At 46.1% G+C, this 20,665-nt stretch overlaps 1 protein-coding gene across 2 annotated transcripts in view, besides 1 other annotated feature; it reads left to right on the forward strand.

Moving 5' to 3' along the window:
* The window catches only part of SPATA13 (spermatogenesis associated 13), a 327,268-nt gene that overhangs the window by 25,628 nt on the left and 280,975 nt on the right, over positions 1-20,665 (forward strand). For both annotated transcript variants that reach the window (NR_104595.2, NM_001286792.2), the window contains exon 3: positions 12,238-12,272. Coding sequence is in view for 1 of the 2 variants with exons in the window: in NM_001286792.2 (NP_001273721.1) it covers positions 12,238-12,272 (35 nt within the window). In the remaining variant the exon portion in view is untranslated. The remainder of the gene's footprint in view (positions 1-12,237; positions 12,273-20,665) is intronic.
* Positions 10,935-11,836: an enhancer, noted in NCBI's record as "H3K27ac-H3K4me1 hESC enhancer chr13:24590503-24591404 (GRCh37/hg19 assembly coordinates)". NCBI's record gives its function as "activates a minimal SCP1, AML or CMV promoter by ChIP-STARR-seq in naive H9 embryonic stem cells {active_cell/tissue: H9 hESC(naive)}" and the evidence as "EXISTENCE:reporter gene assay evidence [ECO:0000049][PMID:30033119]".

Here is a 20,665-nt window from a genome sequence, read left to right on the forward strand (position 1 = left end):
GTAAGCCCAGGACAGGAGCTCATATTTAAGTACGAGAAATGGAGTGTATGCAGGGAGAAAATGGAAACTACAGTTTTAAGGATGCTTTGGGGAATATGGAATCCTTGGTGAAAAAGGGCCATTATACAGCTTTCTTCCCTGGTAAAGGGATGAACTCCTGAATTTTAGGTGTGGGGACAGGGGGTGGGAGAGGGATGGGGGAGATCTGAGTTCATAAAAGTGTCTTTCAAATAATGTGAAGAACAGCTGGTATGTGTCATGTAAAGGGTCAGAGAACACACGAGCTGTAGAGGGGCATTTTCTGAGGAATGCATGTGCTTTTAGATTTGCCACAACCCTGAAAGCTAGATCTGAGGCTCAGCAAGATGCAGCATGGGCATTTTTGTCAATGGAGGAGTGGATTCCTTTTTCTGCACACAGCAGCATAGCTGACATTTTTTTCCCTTCTTAATAAAGACATCCACCCCCTTGACCTTTAGAGCTGATCTTCTAAAAGACCGTACTGTTTCTTGCATAATCATCACCTGTTCTGCTACACAATTGCTCTGTTTGGACCCATGCTTCGGGATAGGAGACATCCCCTGAGAAGGCCAGGGTCAGACTGGCTGGGCTGCAAGCAGCCGGAGGTGCCTGCTGTGTTCCTGCAGTTTCCAGTGTGAGCTGCAGAGGAGAGACAGCCACTTTGTGAGTAACCACCATAATTCTATTATTAGGTGAGAGGTTAATAATTGACATGTTAAAGCATATCCGGGAGGGTATAGAGGGTAAGTCTAAATGTCAGTGTTCATTAGTGGTTTTTTGTATTACAAGTTTTCTTATTCCCAGTATTCATAAGATGTCACTCTTGAGTGTTCATGAGATCAACTAACTCATCAGCAGGTAAACACACAGGGCCTTCGTGGCACCTCAAGCATTTCATAACATGAGGTTCCTTGAGATTGCAAATGTGATAGAATAAAATCTGTACACAGTATAAATGAGCAACGGTGTCAGACAACGACAAGACAAACATGTTTCCAGCATGTCCCCATTTCATCTAATGTGATGTGCGAAAGAACTGAAAAAGGAACACAGCAAACTGGGAGGCTCAGGGCACGAGGTGCGGCAGAGGAGCGAATAGAGGCCAGGCCAGGCCGGCCCAAGTACTAATTCATCACAGTTGCAGGTGTGGTTGACTGGACCCTAACTCTGGGAGGTGCCGGCTGATTTGGTCACCACAGTTGTCTTAGGGGCCTGCACGGCTATGGTCCCATTTTAAGAGCTGGGGAGCTGAGTTGCAATGAGGCCAGCCTACACATGGTGGAGCTGGGAGAGCACCGGGACACGCAGCCCAAGCTCCTGGTGCCCTTGCATTCATGTGCCAGCTTCTGACAAGGGCTGCTGTTCTGGGATTTTACTCTAAGAGCGCAGGGAAGCCACGTCGATGGTGTAGGGGGAGAGGATGCCCCCGCTCGGCAATTAACACGAAGCCCCTCTCTGGAAGGAGGATGCTGTGGCATTGCCTGGGCTTTGTCACAGTTTTGTCATTCTGGGCCAGCCTCCCCCATCCTGTGCACCCCTCCTTCCTTCCGTGTGGAGCCCCCTTTCCTCTAGGATGCAGTCTGAAGGCCAGCTTGTGCACAAGGCCTCCCGTCCAGTGTCCCCTCAGCTGAGTGTGACCTTCCTGCTGGCCCTTAGCTGCCCTCTGGCACTGTAGTCACCTCTGTCAGTGCCTCTCCTGATTGCCAAGCATTGCAAGGGCCTGTGCCGGTTGCCTGGTGGCCCTGAGGCTCTGAGCCCTCTGCAGAGTTTAATACCCTTCTGCTGAGTGACATGTTTAGGGCCAGCCTCTGGTCAGAGGAAAGGCCAGGCTAGGCCACTGCTTGCATCTTTGAGGGGTGAGGCTTGCCTGTGGAGGGGACTGGGCTCAGTGAGTGGGTGTCATGTCTGTGGTCAGTAGCTGGCCCCTGGGGCGACTGACTGCTGGGTTCAAAATCCTGCTGCACCAGGGACAAGCTGGGTGATGTTTAAGTTGCAAGGCTTGGGGCTTTTTCTTTTTTCTTTAGAGGTGCAGTCTCCCTCTGTCAGCCCAGGCTGAAGTGTAGTGGTGCGAACTTGGCCCACTGCGACCTCTGCTTCCCAGGTTCAAGTAGTTCTCATGCCTCAGCCTCCTGAATAGCTGGGATTATAGGTGGCACCACCACACCTGGATAATTTTTTGTATTTTTAGTAGAGACAGCTTTTCTACTAAAAATGGCTATGGTGGCCAGGCTGGTCTTGAACTTCTGGTCTCAAGTGATCCATCCATCTTGGCCTCCCAAAGTGCTGGGATCACAGGTGTGAGCCACCAAGCCCAGCCAGGGTTTTTTCATTTTAAATTTAAGAGTAACAGTACTACTCAGCTCATGCATTCACTGTGAAGATTAAATGAAATATTACATATACTCAATGCATGGTGAGACTTAATAAACAGTATTTATTGTCATCATGATCTGGGTGCACATGCCACCCCAAGAAAGGACAGAAATTAGCTCTACCTCAAGCATAACCCAGAAGTCCTGGGGGGAAATGGAGGCAGGCGCGGCCCAAAGGCTGCTCTGCAGACCAGGCTGCAAAGTGTGTGAATGATTCCTGTCTGCAGCAGCCCCACTCATGGGAGCCGAACCACCCAGGTGTGTGTCCCTGTGAAGGTTAAGGAAGGAGGTTCAAGCTGGTGTGCTGAGGGAGAGCTTGTGACCACAGCCACACACTGTGTGCCCTCGGGTCATTTATTGCACAACACATAAAGAGATTTCAGTCACCTAAAGCTCTTGATGATCAGACCAGGTTATCTGTAAATTTCAGGAGAAAATGCACCTGAATTCACTCCTGAAGGTTGTGGGCTGAGGGGCTCTTCTTTCAGTTTTCCTTCATCTCAGAGAAAGAGAACACCTGCAAAGCCTTGACTCCTTGTCCAGCTGGAATGGCCAGGCCCTGTCCCTGGGGCTGGCTGATCTTGACGCTGATGCTCCATAGCCGGCAGCTCTTAGTGCCTTCGTCATGGGCCACCATGAAAGAGGGCGGTGCCCCCAGCCCCTCCACAGCTCTCCAGGTGGACGGTCTTGTTGGTGGTGACTTCAGATAAGAGGTAGGGAGCAGGAGAGCAGGAGAAGGGGAGGGGAGAGAGAGAGAGAGAGAGATCAAGAAAGAAAAGAGCAATCTAGAGTGTGGACTGAAGCTGTGTTTAATATGAAGAGAAGGGGAACACTGGAGGAGGCAGCAGGCCTGGGCCAGCTGAGGAAGGCAGAGGTGAATCTGCTGTGAGTCACCTGGCAGAGACCTGGAAACCTTTGGCCCCCAGCTCCCTGTCCACCCCCATGTACTCCTACCTCACTGCCCCCATCCCCTGATGGCTCTCAGGCCTATCTTCTGCAGCTCCTGTCCATGAAAATGACTCACTGATGGAATGACCCACAGGCCCCAGACAGCCATTCAGCCAAGGAGGAGGGAAGAGGGGGGAAAGCATAGCTCTGGGACCAAGTGCGGGAGGTGGGGGCTGCTCTTGCCAAACAGAATCAGGAACAAGGAGCAGCACAAGAGGTGCTGAGCAGTGGCCTCAGCCAGCGGGCTCTCTGCTGCCAGGGGCATGCCATCCATCACGTGGGGTAGGTCTCTTTGCTGTGGGTACCCAAGAACTCTGCCAGGCCCTGCTGAGGGTGCCCTGAAAACCTCAGCCAGCCTGCTATCCCCACCTAAACTCTGCTCTGGTTCTTCCTGGAGCTGACACATTTAGTTCAGTGCATCCCAGACATCACCATGTGGAAGTGAGAGGCTCAGCTGGTCCAGCAAGGAGGGCCACCCTTCTCCCATGGTCCTGTGAACCAAAAGTATCTGAGATACGTCTCCATTAATTTAGAAAGTTTATTTTGCCAAGGTTACTGTCAATGAAAAGAATCACACTCTGTAAAATATTTGAAGGGATTCATTCTGAGCCAAATATGAGTGACCCATGAGCTATGACACAGCCATTAGGAGATCCTGAGAACATGTGCCCTAGGTGGTTGGGCTACAGCCTAGTTTTATACATTTTAGGGAGACATGAGACTTCAGTCAAAGACATGTAAAGATGTACATTGGTTTGGTCTGGAAAGATGGGACAACTTGAAGCAGGGTGTGGGATTGTTCCAGGTCATAGGTAGATTTTAAAATTTTCTGAATGGCAATTGATTGAAAGAGTTAGGTTACTATCTAAAGACCTAGAATCAATAGAAAGGAATGTTTGGGTTAGGATGATAAGGGGTGGTGGAGACCAAAGTTTTATCATATAGATGAAGCCTCCAGGTAGCAGGCTTCAGAGAAAACAGATTGTAAATGTTTCTTATCAGACTTAAGGTCTGTTGATGTTAACTCTGGTCGGCTTTTTTTGAATTCCAAAAAGGAGGAGGGTATAATGAGGCATGTCTTACCTCCCTTCCATCCTGGCCTAAATAACTTTTTCAGGTTAACTTTGGAATGCCCTTGGCCAAGAGGAGACATCCATTCAGATGGTTGGGGGGCTTACAATTTTATTTTTGGTTTACAGGCAGTCCTGACAACATGTGCACAAGGCAGTTAGGGTAAAGCTTGGTTTTACACATTTTAGGGAGATATGAGACATCAATCAAATACATGTAAGATGTACACTGGTTTTGTCCTGAAAGGTGGGACCACTCGAAGTGGGGAGGGGGCTTCCAGGTCATAGGTAGATAAGAGATAAATGGTTGCATTCTTTTTGGATCTATGATCAGCCTTTCACTGAATTAAACAATTTATATGTGAGAGGGGATAGTAGTCGCTTCTTAGTCTGGCTCAGCGAATCTGCATTTTTATATAAACAGTGGGGCAGAGGAAGCAATCAGATATGCATTTGCCTTAGATGAGCAGACAGATGACTTTGAGTTCTCTTCTTTGTTCCGCATCTGTGAAGATAAGCCATCACTTTACATCACCAAAGTGAAATTCAGCAGAATTGTTTTAGGGTAAAGATCTTGAGGAGTTTCCTTGTGGGCATATTGTGAGGGAGGTATGTAGCTTTTTTTTTTTTTTTTCATCTTTGTAGCTACGTTATTTAGGAATAGAATGGGAGGCAGGTTTGCCTAACCCCAGCTTGACTTTTCCCTTGGGCTTAGTGATTTCGGGGTCCCAAGATTTATTTTCCTTTCACAGTCCCTTGATCCCTCGTGCCTGGAAGCTCCTCCACCTGTGGCCTGAGTTGGATCTGCTTCTCCTCCCAGCAGTCTACTTCCTTCCTCCATCCTTTCTTCCTCCCATGAATCTTCCTCCCCACTCCTCCCTCCCTCCTGCTCCTCCATGGGGCAATTCACCCAAGGCCTGGATGGTGTCTTGGCAAGCAAGGCAGGGCCAGTGCCTTGTTGGTGGATCTGAGGGCCCTGGTGCATGGGACGTGCTGGTTGGCAAACCATTCCTAGAATCCACCCTGAGCACCTGGTTCTAGGAATGGTTTGCCATTCCAGCATGTCAAATGGTTGCTAAATGCTTTGCCCCACTGGTGACTGAGGTCCCAGGGGATGGAGACCCCTCGGATTGTCCTAGAGGAATGTTCCCTCTCTGCCTTACTGCTTTCTTCTGTCTTTCCCTCTGCACCCATACTGCTGGGATATGCCTGCACTCTGCAGTTTGCTGACTCCTCTGCAACCTTGGCTTTGGTTTCTCCCCAGGTCCTGACCACCTGGCCGTGGGCCCCTCCCTGTAGAGCCACACTGCAGGAAAACAAGGCTGCTTCAGCCCAGCGAGACCCATCTTGCCTGGGTGCCACCTCCCAGCCTGGATCAGCACTCGGAGCTCCCACCTGCCTCCCAGGGGAGTGGGCATCCACCCTGAGCACCTGGTTCTAGGAATTTCCCTTCCTTTCATTTCTGAGGCAGTGCCGGCCGGCTTGGCCATCTCATGCTGTCTCACGTTCCGCAGCTGGTCTGGGCCCAAGTGCTGAGGACTCAGGGATCCCTGAGACCGTTCTGGGCAGGTCTGGCTTGCTGCCCTCCCCTGGAGAATGTGGCGACCCAGCAGCAGGTGGTTGAGAGTGTCCCTGCTGGTGAGGACAGAACCTGGAATTCTGTTGCCACGCTCCCTGTCCTGGCTGGCTGATGCCCTCCAGCTGTGGGCTGGCCATGCTCCTGATGGGCCTGATATGGATACAGACTAGCATGTCCCATGCACCAGGACCCTCAGATCCACCAACAAGGCACTGGCCCTGTCTTGCTTTCTTCTCTTGGTGTGGCTGAAAACACCAGGCTCTAACTCTACTAGTTAAGCAGGAGCCTGGGAGTCTCCAACATCCTTCCTGGCAGGGGGCATGCAGAGAACATAGTCTTCAGCTCTGGCCAAGCAGCCATCTGTCCAGCCTGCTGGTGCTAGCCTGGGTAGATGGCCTGGAACTTAGGGGCAGAGCCCACCTGCACAGGCAAACTTGGGGGACCATGAGGGATGATCCCACAGACCCAGAATGCTCAGCCTTCTTCTTTAAACTTGCAGCGGAGGCTTCAATGTGCACCTCCGCCTCCCCCTACGGATTGTAAAACTCACAGGCACAGGGACCGGGGCTTGCCCACCACCCTAAACAAAACTTGCTGATGACTTACTGAGAAGATGAAGGCAGTGGTTTCTTGCAGCCATTGTGTCTGACCATGGGCCCCAGCAAGGATGTGAGGGACCTGTGTCACTGGCAAACACACTGTCAAGAAGCCAGGTGTGTAACCAGCCTATGATGAAAGCCTGCAGAGGTATCAGTCTCTTTCCTGGGGAATCTTTTCACCTGCGTCACAGCCAGACCCTCCATCACTGGTAGAAGGGTCTAGGGACTCCTCCAGAAGAGATAACTACTTTCTACTTAAGGACCAAAATACTTTTAGCCTCTGAGGCATAGGGCAGCTCACAGATGAAACTCTCTTCTATCTTGGTCAAGGTTGCCCCCAGGCAGGGGGACATCACCAGCAGATGCTCGTGGTTGGTCAGTATCTTGAGAAGTACACACCACCCAGGTACACCATTAGGGTGTCCTCTAGTACAACAGGACAGAGACAAAGGCTGTGCCTACTGTCTCCAAGGAGTGGGAGAGGACAAGCATATGGCAATTTTGATAGGCTTCTCACTTGGCCCTTCGAGTTGGCCATGTTGATCAAGTTCATGGTCTTCCCCTCTCAGGGGCTCCCCTGGTTGATCTTTTTCTGCCCTGACAAGCTCCTGGAGTCTGTTCCCTCCCCGTCTTCCGCAGCCAACCCCCAAGTGTGTGGTGGGCGGGGTGCAGGCTGCAAGCCTGTGATTACAGCACCTGCCTTGCTGGGAATGGCACGGGCATAGGAGCAGTCATGCCCACTGCAACAGTCAGTGTTGCCACAGCAATGCCCAGAACACCACCCTGAGCCCCGTGGCTGCAGACAGTGGCATCTGTTTGGTTTATGCGTCTGCAGGTCGGGGCTTTCACGGGCTTGGGCTGGGCTCCCTCCTGTGGCTGGCACTCCCCAGCTGTGGCTGGGGACAGGGCACACCTAGGCCACAACTCTCCCTCATCCAGCAGGCCAGCCCGACACCTTCTCACCGTGACGGCAGAGTGGGGAGCAAGCAAAGCCACACTGTGTGAGCTTTCCAAGGGCCCATTGTCACCCCTTTGCTAATACCCCACTGGCTGCAGCCCATGTGGCTGAGCCCAGAGCCAGGGTGGGGGGTACATGGCAACCTGTGCAGACATGGAAAAACCTCAGCCTCCTCTTCTCCCACTGAAACGGGCTTAGAGCTCTTCCTGTCTCCCCACGCGTGCTGCACTGTTTCATGCTCTTTCTCCCAAGGAACTTCTCCTCAGCTCAGCTCCCGCTCTGTAAGTGGAACTCTGATTTCATCTGAGCACCCTGGCTTCCACAGCATTGCATGCCCACTGCCAGCCCGTTCCTCCCCTCCCTCACCCACTGGGCTGACGATCCTCTCCCACTTGCTGCTCAGTTTCCCTCCTGGTTTGTCCCAGCTCTGGGGCCCATGGGCAGCCCCCTCACCCTTGTGCCTTGCCCCCCATACCTGGGACACTGCTTGGGGACAGTGCCCAGGATTCTACCTACTCTGAGAATGGGGACAAGAAATCTACACACAAGCTTAAGTCGCCCTTATCCTAAAAAGGTACTTTTTTCCTGACCTTGTGAATTCTTCCAAGATCTTATTGATCTCTAATTTGCCTTTTGTGAGAAAATGTTTTGAAAGAGTAACCTACACCCATCGCTTTCATTCCTTACCACCCACTTGCTCCTTGTCCCTTACAGTCTTTTTTTTTTCCACTTTTTTTTTTTTTTTTGCCCCAGAAGACCAGGCTGTCAACAGTCTGCAGTGTTAGGAGTGCCACATGTGTTCATTTATTTTGTCCTCTAAAAACCTCGAAGGCTTGGGTGCTGCATACAGTCAATAGCCGTTTGACCCATGAGAAAATCAGAGCTCAGCCTGGTCATGTTGTTCATGAGGTTATTGGGAGCAGGTAATGGACTGTAGGCCTTTCTGACTGCAGAGCCTGTTTTAAGCTGTTGTGCTGTACTGACTCGATGTGCAAGTCTGGAGTGTGCTAGAGTCAGAGCCTCCAAACCCGTCACGCAAAGGGGCTGTATACGCTTGCTAGGGCTGCTGTGCCACAGTTGAGTGGCTTTGACAACAGAAATGGTTTGCCTCGCTGTCCTGGAGGCTGGAGGCCACAGGGTCAGCAGGGCCATGCTCCTTTTGCAGGTGCCAGGGAAGGTCGGGGCCCAGCCCTTCTCCCAGTTCTTGGTAGCTTAACTCCAGTCTCCACATTGCATTCTCCCTGTGTGCATGTCTGTGTCCAGAGTCTCCCTTTCCATTAGGACACAAGTCATATTGGATTAGGCTCTCACCCTAATGACCTCATCATAACTAAAGTTGACAACTCGGGGGCACCAACACACCCCCCTTCCCCCATGCAGAAATGGCCCCACTGTTTCTGGGGCCTTTCAAAACCTGCATGTAACCTTTGACTCCCCCAAAACTTAACTACTAATAGCCTGCTATTGACCAGAAGCCTTACCGATAATGTGTCAGTGGATGAACACATATTTTGCATGTTATATGTACTGTATACTGTAGTCTTACAATAAAGTAAGCTAGAGAAAATAATATTTGAAAATCATAAGAAAGAGAAAATATATTTATTCATTAAGTGCAAGTGGATCATCCAGGTAAAGGCCTTCATCCTGTGGTCTGTTAGTTTGTAACAAAATAGTGTATGTCTTCTCCTAAAATTTACTATTGTTATTTAACAACTTCCTTTAAAAGGAAGGTAAGTGGTTTAGTGAAACTGATGAGAGGAAACAAATCCTGATTTCAATTGTGAATTAAGGGTGTTATTCACACAAGTTATTTCAGTTCCTGTCTTCTCCCTTTTGGTTAAGATTTCCACAGGATTGCTGTAGTTCTGAGATCCAGGTTCCCTTTTTGGCACTTTCTGGATTTTTTTTTTTTTTTTTTTTTTTTTTTTTGAGACAGAGTCTCGCTGTGTCGCCCAGGCTGGAGTGCAGTGGCGCTATCTGGGCTCACTGCAAGCTCCACTTCCTGGGTTGATGCCATTCTCCTGCCTCAGCCTCCCAAGTAGCTGGGACTACAGGTACCCGCCACCACGCCTGGCTAATTTTTTTGTGTTTTTAGTAGATAACAGGGTTTCACCGTGTTAGGCAGGATGGTCTTGATTTCCTGACCTCATGATCTGCCTGCCTTGGCCTCCCAAAGTGCTGGGATTACAGATGTGAGCCACCGTGCCTGGCCACTGGATTTTTATAGTAAACAATGACCTCTGTGACTCTTAACGAGAGATGAATAGATACAAAAAGTCTTATAAGCAAAAACATCGCTGAAAGCCAGAGTTTACTGCAAAATAGACACATGACATTATTTAATTTTTTTCCCAAATAGAGAACCTAAGTAAAAGCCTTAGCAATTTACCTTTTGCTGAGAGGAACTAGCTGGACTGTACATTTTAAGAAAATCCTTTCTTCAAAGTACATGTGAGGAAAAACTAATTTCGGGGACAGCCCTGCTTCCAAGCTTGTTTCTCCTGTGGCATCCCCTCTCTGTTAGCAGTAATTTAATAAAAAACCTGAATATGACCCTGTTGTGAGCTGAGTCAGGCCTGACCCTGAGCCAGGGGCCACCTGGCCCCTCTGCTTCACTCTCACCATTGCCCACTCATGGGGCTTCTTTTCTGCTCATGGTTCATCCCAGAAGGTTTTTCCCTGCCATCCCCTAGAAGGTCAGACCAGCCAGGACACCCCCGGCCTTCCTGATCCTTCCCCTTTGGGGCGACCCCTGGCAGGCCCCCCCCCAATTCCTAGGTCCACCGTTTCTGGGGTCTTTCCAGCCAAACCATGCCAAGGTGAGCCTCGGCTGGTGACACGTCATAGTCCCCTCATGACCCCACCTAAATCAGCAAAATGAAGTTGTTGGTTCTTAGAAATAATTTAAAACACAGAGGCATTTCCTCAGGCAGTGGGATTTGAGCATCAAAGACACGCTTCTGTCCTTCGTCCTTCTGCCCTCGGATGTCGCGGCTCCTTGGCTCCACAGTGACTTGGAGGGTACGCGGTGTGTATGTGTTGGCTGCAATAGTGTGAGCCACAGTGACACGTGGCATGGTTCTGAGCTCCACAAGGAAAATGGCAGAGCCCCGTTCCAAGTCCCTGGCAGGACTCGGGACTCTGCGTATGTCTTTCTCAGACACCCCTGAGACCTGCCCGGAATTGTGTTTGTGGCTTGTCCTTCAACCCCACTCCTGGCTCCTCCTGTGAGGGGTGGAGGCCAGTGGGGTCCATCCCTGCCCACCCCTGGAGTGCTCCATCCTCCAGGACGTGGCCCTGGGCCCTCCAGGAAGCAGCTGCGGCTCTTCCTGAGGCTGGGAGAGCTGTTTCCCAGTAGCTACCATTTCCATTTGGATCCAGATGTGACATCTTCCCATTTCTGACATCACCCTGGATGTCACATCAGTTTTCTTTAATTGACTTCTCACGTTTCTCAAATTCTTGCTGGAAGAATTGGGAGCGTCCTTTGGTGCCTGGGCAGCTATGATGCAGGCCACAACCACAATGCTAGGCTCAAAGGTGCCCTTCTTTGCCCACAGCCAAGCAGGGCCGCTGGGTTCACCTTGACCTCCACTGACTCTTCCTAAGCAGGCTCAGTGTCCAGGGCCCGGGCATGGCCTGCAGGGCTGTGGGGGTACCTCCCCGCTCCCTCTCCTTCCTGGCTCTCAGTTTCCTGAGCTGCGTGTCCCCAGTGTTCTCTTCCAGAAGTTTCATTGTCCTTGTGCAGAGAAAAGCCCCTGGAAGGCACTCTGGGACGTGCATTGTGCCCCAGTTCAGCACTAGGGTGGTGGCTCTGCACCCCAAGGCCTGGCTGCTGCACGATAACATGAGCCTGACAAATCCCAGGGTGCAGAGAATCCAGGGCTGGTGCAGGATGGCGCTGCCCCCGCCCAGGCTCATGCCCAGCCTTCAATGAATACAGTTTTAGTTACTGAATGACAGTGGATGGTGGAGCCCATGGAGGGTGTGATGAACACCAAGTGGGGCCTGACACAGACTCGGCAGCCTCAGGAAGGCAGGAGGTAGTGAGGAGCGCCCGAAGTGTGGGAGGAGGTGACAGGGTCAGGGGGCAGACATCCTTCCCATGGGGCCCAGCCCTGGGCCAGGGCAGAGAGTTGAGGTAACATCAGTAGATGAGTGAGCACTCCTGAGTTACGAATAGAGAACAAATCGCCAAAATAACAGCATGCATTTACACATGCTCACACGTGCCAGGCACTGCTCTGAGACGATAACTCAGTTAATGCTCACAATTCTCTTATCCTCATCCGAGAAATAGAATAATTTGCCTGGGCGTGCAGCAAGTGAGTGGTGGACCCGAACCAGAACCTACGTAAGCCCACGTGCTTGACCTGAATTCAGAGGATTGGAAACCCAGGGCTTAGAGCTTGAAAACGCACAGTGTGATCTAAATCTAAATCTCTTGGGCAGAGCTTTTCTCCATGCTCTAAAATTCTGCTCTTAAGGCCATGTGAGAGATGTATGTGTGTCTGTGTTTGTATGTGTATATATGTATATGTAAGATATACACACATATGTATATATACATTTTTGTTTACATATATTTTTTAGATCAGATAGACCCTGTCTGGCATTCCGATTTAACCTCAGCTAACCTGTTTTCACACATCTGTGCACTAAAACAACTCATTTTTTTCCTTTCCAGAGCTTGTCTTCAAGAGTAGCTGGTGCAGAAACTCGGTAAGAAGGGCCTCGAGTCCGTTCTTCCCTCTCCTTCCTCCTTCTTTCTCCTTTAAATCCTACCTCCATTTGCAGATTGTATAATCTGTATGTTAACTCCGTAATCCATATGTTACCTCTGTAACATACTGTTAAAATCACCACAAATTTGATAGTTTCACACTTTTCTTGACTTTCAAAACATATCATCTGTCAAGGTATTTGAGATGACTTCTTCCTTTGTGAAGTGAGGCCTCCTCTTAGCAAAATTTTAGACCCTACATGGATTTCATTAATATGCACTATTGCTACTAAATGTTCTGCTAGTGTGGCCAATCCATTTATAGGCAAACTTGGGAATGATTTTGTTTTGAAAGCAAATACAAATGAATCACCTTACACCCGTGGAAAACCAATCACGAGTCTTACATTTTAAGATACTTTACTGTGATAAAAACCTGGGAGTGTTTTGGGTTTTGTATGTTTGTTACTGGATGAATATAACCTTAGAGTTGAACACATTTTAATAGAAATGTGCACGTGTTCATAAATATGACATACTTAAGTCCTGTTGTAGATTAAACTGTATTACAAACCACTTCATAGTTGTAAGGTCAAAATGTCTTTTTTGATGGACAAATAGAAATGTTGCAAAAGATCGTTTTTTCCATCTTAGCATTATTTGTAACTGTGATTTACCTGTTGGACCCAACTAAAGACTAACAAGTAAAGAATCTGAGGAAGGTCTTTTAGGTAATAAATGAAATATCTTTTTAAATTCCTTTTTCTCCAATTAAAGTGGAACGCAGCTTCTGAAAATCTTTAACGAGCTAGACAATACAAAATTTAGATAATTTAATTTGAGATTATGTTTAGGTCTCAGAAAACCTGAGAGGTCTACGCATTAATAGCCAATGATGACACAGAGGCACAGCTAATTGGCGAGGTGAGCGCTGCTTGTTTGATGTTTTAGCAGAGGGTTACTTATTGATCTGCACCATAGGCCTCACCTAACATTGACTTTTCATTTGCTATTTGTCCTGTGTTTTACTTAACTGATGCATTTTTTTTGAAATTTTTAACTATTCACATTTGTTTGTGAGAAGAATTACATTACAGCATTTAGGTTCCAACGTTTTGTGTATCATACGAGTGGATTATCAGTCACATATCTTTGTGTGTTACTTCAAAAGCATTTGGTGTACACTCGAGAAATAATTATGACAAAGTATGAAAAACTTAATTTGTCTGTTTTAGGACATTTCAAATATTTAAGATGCAGAAGAATACTGAGGCATATCTGATTGAGTGGATCTCAACAGACATATTAGAATTTGGTTGATATTCAGGGAAAGTGAACGTGTCTAAAGAAGGGGCTCCTAAGTTATATGATTCTTATTATTATTATTATTATTTTTTTTTTTTTGAGACGGAGTCTCGCTCTGTCGCCCAGGCTGGAGTGCAGTGGCGGGATCTCGGCTCACTGTAAGCTCCGCCTCCCGGGTTCACGCCATTCTCCTGCCTCAGCCTCCCAAGTAGCTGGGACTACAGGCGCCCGCCACTACGCCCAGCTAATTTTTTGTATTTTTAGTAGAGACGGGGTTTCACCGTTTTAGCCGGGATGGTCTCGATCTCCTGACCTCGTGATCCGCCCGCCTCGGCCTCCCAAAGTGCTGGGATTACAGGCGTGAGCCACCACACCCGGCCATGATTCTTATTTATAAAAGAAAAACAGTATATAGTTTTATACTGTATGGTTTGATAGCAGTGGAGCTAGTTAAAATTTCTGCATACTTTTGTAATTATGTTTTGTTTGTGAACTTACAGATCCATTACCTAGCCAAATATTTATGTGTATTTTAAAGCATTTTTAATATCACATGCTAAATAGCTAGGAAACTTTTCTTGAGCAGAATATTACTAGTGCATTCTCTTTCTTCCTCTTGTGTGTACTTTATAATTAGAATAAATATCATTAATGATAATGCTTCTCTGAGGTCAGATTTTATTTAAAAAATAAAATAGGACTGCTAAAAAAAAAATGACATTTTGAAATACTCGTTGGAATCCTAGGCAGCTTAGGGCTCTGTAGAGCAATGGGAGTCCAAGGGTAGAGAATCATTTGGTGTTTAGGAAAAGCTTCTATTATCAGTGAGGTCACATTAGCGTTCACAGGCATAGATTTCAACATGCCAGTGAAGACTGGTAGGGTTAGGAGTCTCATCTCTCTCGCCCTGGAGTCTTTCTGTGGTTTTCAGGCCAGCCACACCTCTTTGCCCCCATGTCAGAATTCAGACATCTACGTTTATTGAAGCTTACCTTTAAGCTCTATCTTTATTGCACTCATTGTGTGAGGTGCGGACTCCAGCTTCTATCTTAGGAAGTCCACCTCAGAGCACCAAGCCTCACCGACAGCCAGACTTAACCAGCTGCATACAGCTTCTCCCTGTTGGCATGAAACACACCAACATTTGGGATGATGACTTGAGGAATTTGGATTTTTTTGAGATCTGTGTGTTTTAATGTTTTGGTATTTTACTTAGTTCCTTGTTTTAAACTGTTCCATTTCAAACTTAAGCATTTCATTTTATAGTTAGAGTGCTTGAACTTCTAACCAATATGCAGTTGACATTGTTCTAAGTTATGAAAAAGGCAAAAATATAGTGCTGTGTACATGTGACTTTATGAAAACTTTTTTGTTTTTTAACCTTAATCAAATTTTTCATTAATGCTTAAGTAGAATATATTAGTATTTTAAAAGCAGATTCACAATCCATTTGAGTTGGAAACCATTCTTGGCCCACAAACCCAGTTTCCCTCAGAGGCCGTGAGAGGGAGCTGTTGAACCTTAAACGAATTGTATTTAACCTTTAACAGTCCATCAGGCTAAACTATTCAGATAATCCATCTATAAAATTTAACTTACATTGTAATAAGCAGTAGTATGATTTTCATTTCTATTAAAGCAGAAGTTATGCAGTTAATTAAGAGACATTTCAGTTAAATTCAATGAATACTTTTTAGTACATGTTATTTACAAGGCACTTTATGCTAAAAGTGGGCATAAAAATAAATAATTTGGGCCGGGCGAGATGACTCATGCCTATAATTCCAGCACTTTGGAAGGCTGAGGTGGGTGGATCACAAGGTCACGAGTTCAAGACCAGCCTGGCCGAGATGGTGAAAACCGGTCTCTACTAAAAATACAAAAATTAGCTGGGCATGGTGGTGGGTGCCTATAATCCCAGCTACTCAGGAGGCTGAGGCAGATAATTGCTTGAACCCAGGAGGCGGTGGTTGCACAGGGCCTAGATCGAGACACTGCACTCCAGCCTGTGTGACAGATTGAGACTCCATCTCAATAAATAAATAATTGGAGTGGCTCATAAACATGTGCATGTCTGTGTGTGCACACCTGCATTATAAAGTAGAACACAATATATAAGGAAGGTATATTGAGTTTCCACAGAAAGGAAGGTATTAGGAGAGGCAGGAGAGAGGAGCTGGCCTCTAAGAAGGGCTGGAGCATTTCTGGGAGTTGACAGAGAATGGGGAGTATTCCAAGTGCGGAGCACAGCATAAGGAAAGAAAGTTTGGAGAATCCTGAAGATGCCTGTTTGCTCAAAGCATAGCTTGCATAAAGATGATTAAGAGAATATCAGGCATAGGGCAGACAGTGAGTTGCACCTGTAGTCCCAGCTACTTTGGAAGCTGAGTCAGGAGGATCACTTGAGCCCAGGAGTTTGAGGCTACAGTGAGCTATGATTGTACCACTCTACTCCAGTCTGGGTGACAGAACGAGACCTTGTCTCTTAACAAAAAATATAAAAATTAAAAACCAGTATCAGGCTGAAAAGCTAGGTTGGGCTGCATTGTACTCAAACATAAATGCCCAAGGACTGACTTGTCTCTAATTGTTTTGAACGTCAAAATTTGACCAAATGATCTCTTAATCTGTGACTGTATACGCCGTGCATTGGGCATTATTCACCAGATGTTAATTGAAGTCATACTCTGTGAAGGTTGTTGGAAAATCTTTTTTTTTTTTTGAGATGGAGTCTCACTCTGTCGCCCAGGCTGGAGTGCAGCGGCATGATCTTGGCTCACTGCAAGCTCCACCTCCCGGGTTCACACCATTCTCCTGCCTCAGCCTCCCGAGTAGCTGGGACTACAGGCGCCCGCCACCACGCCTGACTAATTTTTTATATTTTTAGTAGAGATGGGGTTTCACCGTATTAGGCAGGATGGTCTCGATCTCCTGACCTCGTAATCTGCCTGCCTCGGCCTCCCAAAGTGCTGGGATTACAGGCGTGAGCCACTGCGCCCGGCCAGTTGTTGGAAAATCTTAATGTTTCTTTTCTCTTTTCTTTCTTTTTTTTTTTTTTTCAAATGGAGTCTTGCTCTATCTCTTGAAGGCTGGAGTGCAATCTCATCTCACTGCAGCTTCCACCTCCCAGATTCAAGCAATTCTCCTGTCTCAGCCTCCCGAGTAGCTGGGACTACAGGCACCTGCCACCATGCCTGGCTAATTTTTGTGTAGAGATGGGGTTTCACCATGTTGGCCAGGCTGGTCTCGAACTCCTGACCTCAGGTGATCCACCCAGCCTTAGCCTCCCAAAGTGCTGGGATTATAGGCGTGAGCCACTGCGCCTGGCGAAAAATCTTAATGTTTCTTAATTGCAGTATTCTGAAACTGATAAAGCACTTGTAAAACTTTCAAAATAATTTAAAGCCATTTTCTTTTTAAGATAGAAATGAGTACTTCTTAGCATACTAGAGGTAACTTTAAAATTTTAAAGTAATGTTTAATGAGTACAGAGTTTCAGTTTTGCAAGACAAAAACCTTCTGATCTCTTACAAAATAGTGTGAAAATGTACTTTACTGAGCTGCACACTTGAAAATGGTTAAGATGGTGAATTTTAAGTTATATGTTTTCCACCACAATTTTTGAAAACTAAAATAAGAATTTTTTGGGGCTAAAACAAGAAGAAACCATCTACAGGAAGTGGAATGAATTTAGCTCTTATGTTTTCTGGCAGCATGTGGGAGGATTTGGGGTCACCATTGTGGGCCATGTTGTTTTCACTGATGACTACTTCTGCAGGAACATAAGTTTTCCTGGAATTAGACTCAAGCAAAATGTACAAGGCAGGCTCTTGTAGAAAAAGAAACATTGAATCATGAGCTGGACAAAAACTTTAGTTACCATTTTCTAAAAAAACTATATAGAGGTTGTTCAAATACACTTGAATCTTCTTTTTTTTTATTATTATTATACTTTAAGTTCTAGGGTACATGTGCACAGCGTGCAAGCTCGTTACATAGGTATACATGTACCATGCTGGCCCGCTGCATCCTTCAACCCGTCATTTACATTAGGTATTTCTCCCAATGCTATCCCTCCCCTCACCTCCCACCCCATGACAGGCCCCTGTGTGTTATGTTCCCCAGCCTGTGTCTCATTGTTCAATTCCCACCTATCAGTGAGAACATTCGGTGTTTGGTTTTCTGTCTTTGTGATAGGTTGCTCAGAATCATGATTTCCAACTTCATCCATGTCCCTGCAAAGGACATGAACTCATCCTTTTTTATGGCTGTATAGTATTCCATGGTGTGTATGCAAATACACATGAATCTTCTGTGAAAGCTGTAGACATTAAGGCATAGCTCAGTAAATTCATTTCTCTGGAGTGAAGATATAACTGATTTGGATACTTTGCTTTTTATCTTCTAATTTCAATAGAAAAGTAGGGAATAATGCAGGTTGTTTCATAGTGTGGCAAGCAGAATAATAGTCCCTGGAAGATGTCCATGTCCTATTCCCTGGCATTTGTGAATGTGTTACTTTCAATGGTAAAGAAGAATTAGGTTGCAGATGGACTTAAGGTTGCTAATCAGCTGATCCTAAAATAAGGAGATGATCCTAGATTATCTAGAAAGCCCAGTGTAATAACAAGGGTCCTTAAAAGTGGAAGAGGGAGGCTGGACAGGAGGCCAGAGAGATGCAGTGTGAGAACCCGATCTGACATTGCTGGCTTTGAAGGTGGAGGCCATGAGCCAAGGAATGTGGGCGCCTCTCAAAGCTGGGAAATTGATACTCCCTGAGAAGCCTCCAGAAGAGAATCAGTTCTGCCAGCACCTTGGTTTTAACCTGCGAGACCCCTGTTGAACTTCCACCCTGCAGCAGTGTGAGACGGTGATCTGCAATGTTTCAGGCCACAGCATGGGTGGGGATTTGTTCAGCAGCAGCAGGAAACAAATGCATGTGGACGCTAATATCATAGTCAGTTCACAGCAAAATCCTGGTCACCTGTACTGCAATAGTCCATGACGGTGGTGAATAAGTTGTCAGCTTCAATACAGATTTGAGGGGATCAGAATTGCCACTGTGCTGAAGAGGCTCTGAGTCATGTGCTGCGGAGGTCAGTGTGTCAGAGTTGGGTTTCATTCAGAGCAATCCATTTCTACACAGACATTGGTAGAAGGATGGCTAAGGGAGGTGACCAGTCACACTGTGAACTGGCCCCATCCACATCCACAGTTTCCTGATCCATGGTTGTATGCGCTCTAAGATTCTTCAGACTATAGGACTTTGAATGAAAGATGAAGTATAGAGATTCCCAGACCATGGTGGGTGCTTAACTATTTATTGGATGGATGGATGAATGGATGGACGGATGGATGGATGGATGGATGGATGGATAGATGGAATGAAGGAATGATGAACCAGGCTGCTGACTAAAGAAGAAGAAACACCCCTCATTCTCTTGGGTTGTCTAGTGACAAGACCAACCACATGCAAGAAGAAAGGAGAGTGCTATCTGGAGTGTTAGAAACCCTCTCCCTCTGAGTCCCATGCCACCAGGGCCCTGCTGGTGGCCACACAGCACGGTTCTACAGAGCAGCTGGCACGCTGCTGCTGATCCCGCTATGATGCATCCAGTGCTTACTAGATGTCACACAGGAAGTTTTTCTTAAACATTTTGTTAATATTTGATGACATAAAAATGTTATATATTATATATATGTTATATATATAGTAAAACTCCCTCTCTAGAAAAATAAATAAAAATTGAAATTCAGCTATATTTGCCTGCCGGGTGCAGTGGCACATGCCTGTGGCCCCAGTTACTTGGCAGGCTCAGATGGGAGGATCGCTTGAGCTCAGAAGTTAGATTCCAGCCCTGGGTAACATAGCGAGAACCCCCATTTCTCTAAAAATTGTTTTTTAATTTTAAAAACATTCAAATTCATATATATATAAATATATATATAAATATATATATAAACACAGATGAAGCATAATAATAAAGTGAATATCCAGACCCCCCATACATCTTAAGAAACAGACTATTATAAAAATCTAAAGTTCCCTGCTTATTAAATCCATGGTTGCACAGTCCTGTCTTCTTTCTAGAGGTAGCCACTGTTGCAAATATTATGTTTAATTCTCTTTCCTTCTTTATTATTTTACCATGTTTATGTCCTTAAGGAATATTTTCCTATTTTTGTTTATTTCCTAAAATTTTTATTAAAATGAATCAAATTTGTATGCATTCTCCTTCTAAATGCTTTTTTAAGTTAACCATGCTGATACTTAAATTAGATTTTATTCATTTTCACTGCTCTGAAGTATTTCTGTGTACTTATATACCAAAAAATATATATAATAATAATACATGTGTATGTACATTCTTCTATGGATGGACATTAATTTCCAGTTGTAACTATTACAAAAATACTTTCCAATGAACATTCTATGTGTCTCCCAGTAACCATGTGCAAATTTCCTTAGGACATATATTTAGGATTTGCTGGGTCATAGTGTAATTATATGTTCAGCTTTAAAAAATAATCCAAACGCTTCTCCAAAGTAGTTGTTCCAATTTATATGTAAAACAGTGGCATATACAACTTCCCTTTGCTCTAAATCCTTACTAAAATCTGGTATTCCTGGTTTTCAAATTTCTGCCAATTTGGTGAATATAAAATGGATTTTATTACGGTTTAAATTTTCCTTTTTGTGACTTTCAAAGAATTTGAGCATCTTTTCATAGAGCTGTTAGCCATTCACATTTTTTTCTATGAAATATCTAATCACATCTTTTACCTTTTCTTTCTTTCTTTCTTTCTTTTTTTTTTTTTTGAGACGGAGTCTCACTCTATCGCCTGGGCTGGAGTGCAATGGCGCGATCTCACTACAACCTCCGCCTCCCAGGTTCAAAGGATTCTCCTGCATCAGCCTCCTGAGTAGCTGGGATTACAGGCATATAGCACCACGCCTGGCTAATTTTTGTATTTTTAATAGAGATGGGGTTTCACCATGTTGGTCTGGCTGGTCTCGAACTCTGGACCTCGTGATCCACCTGCCTCGGCCTTCTAAATACCTTTTCTTTTTACTGGGTTGCTAGTT

The sequence above is a fragment of the Homo sapiens genome, chromosome 13 (genome assembly GCF_000001405.40).
Source record: "Homo sapiens chromosome 13, GRCh38.p14 Primary Assembly".
Lineage (NCBI taxonomy): Eukaryota > Metazoa > Chordata > Mammalia > Primates > Hominidae > Homo > Homo sapiens.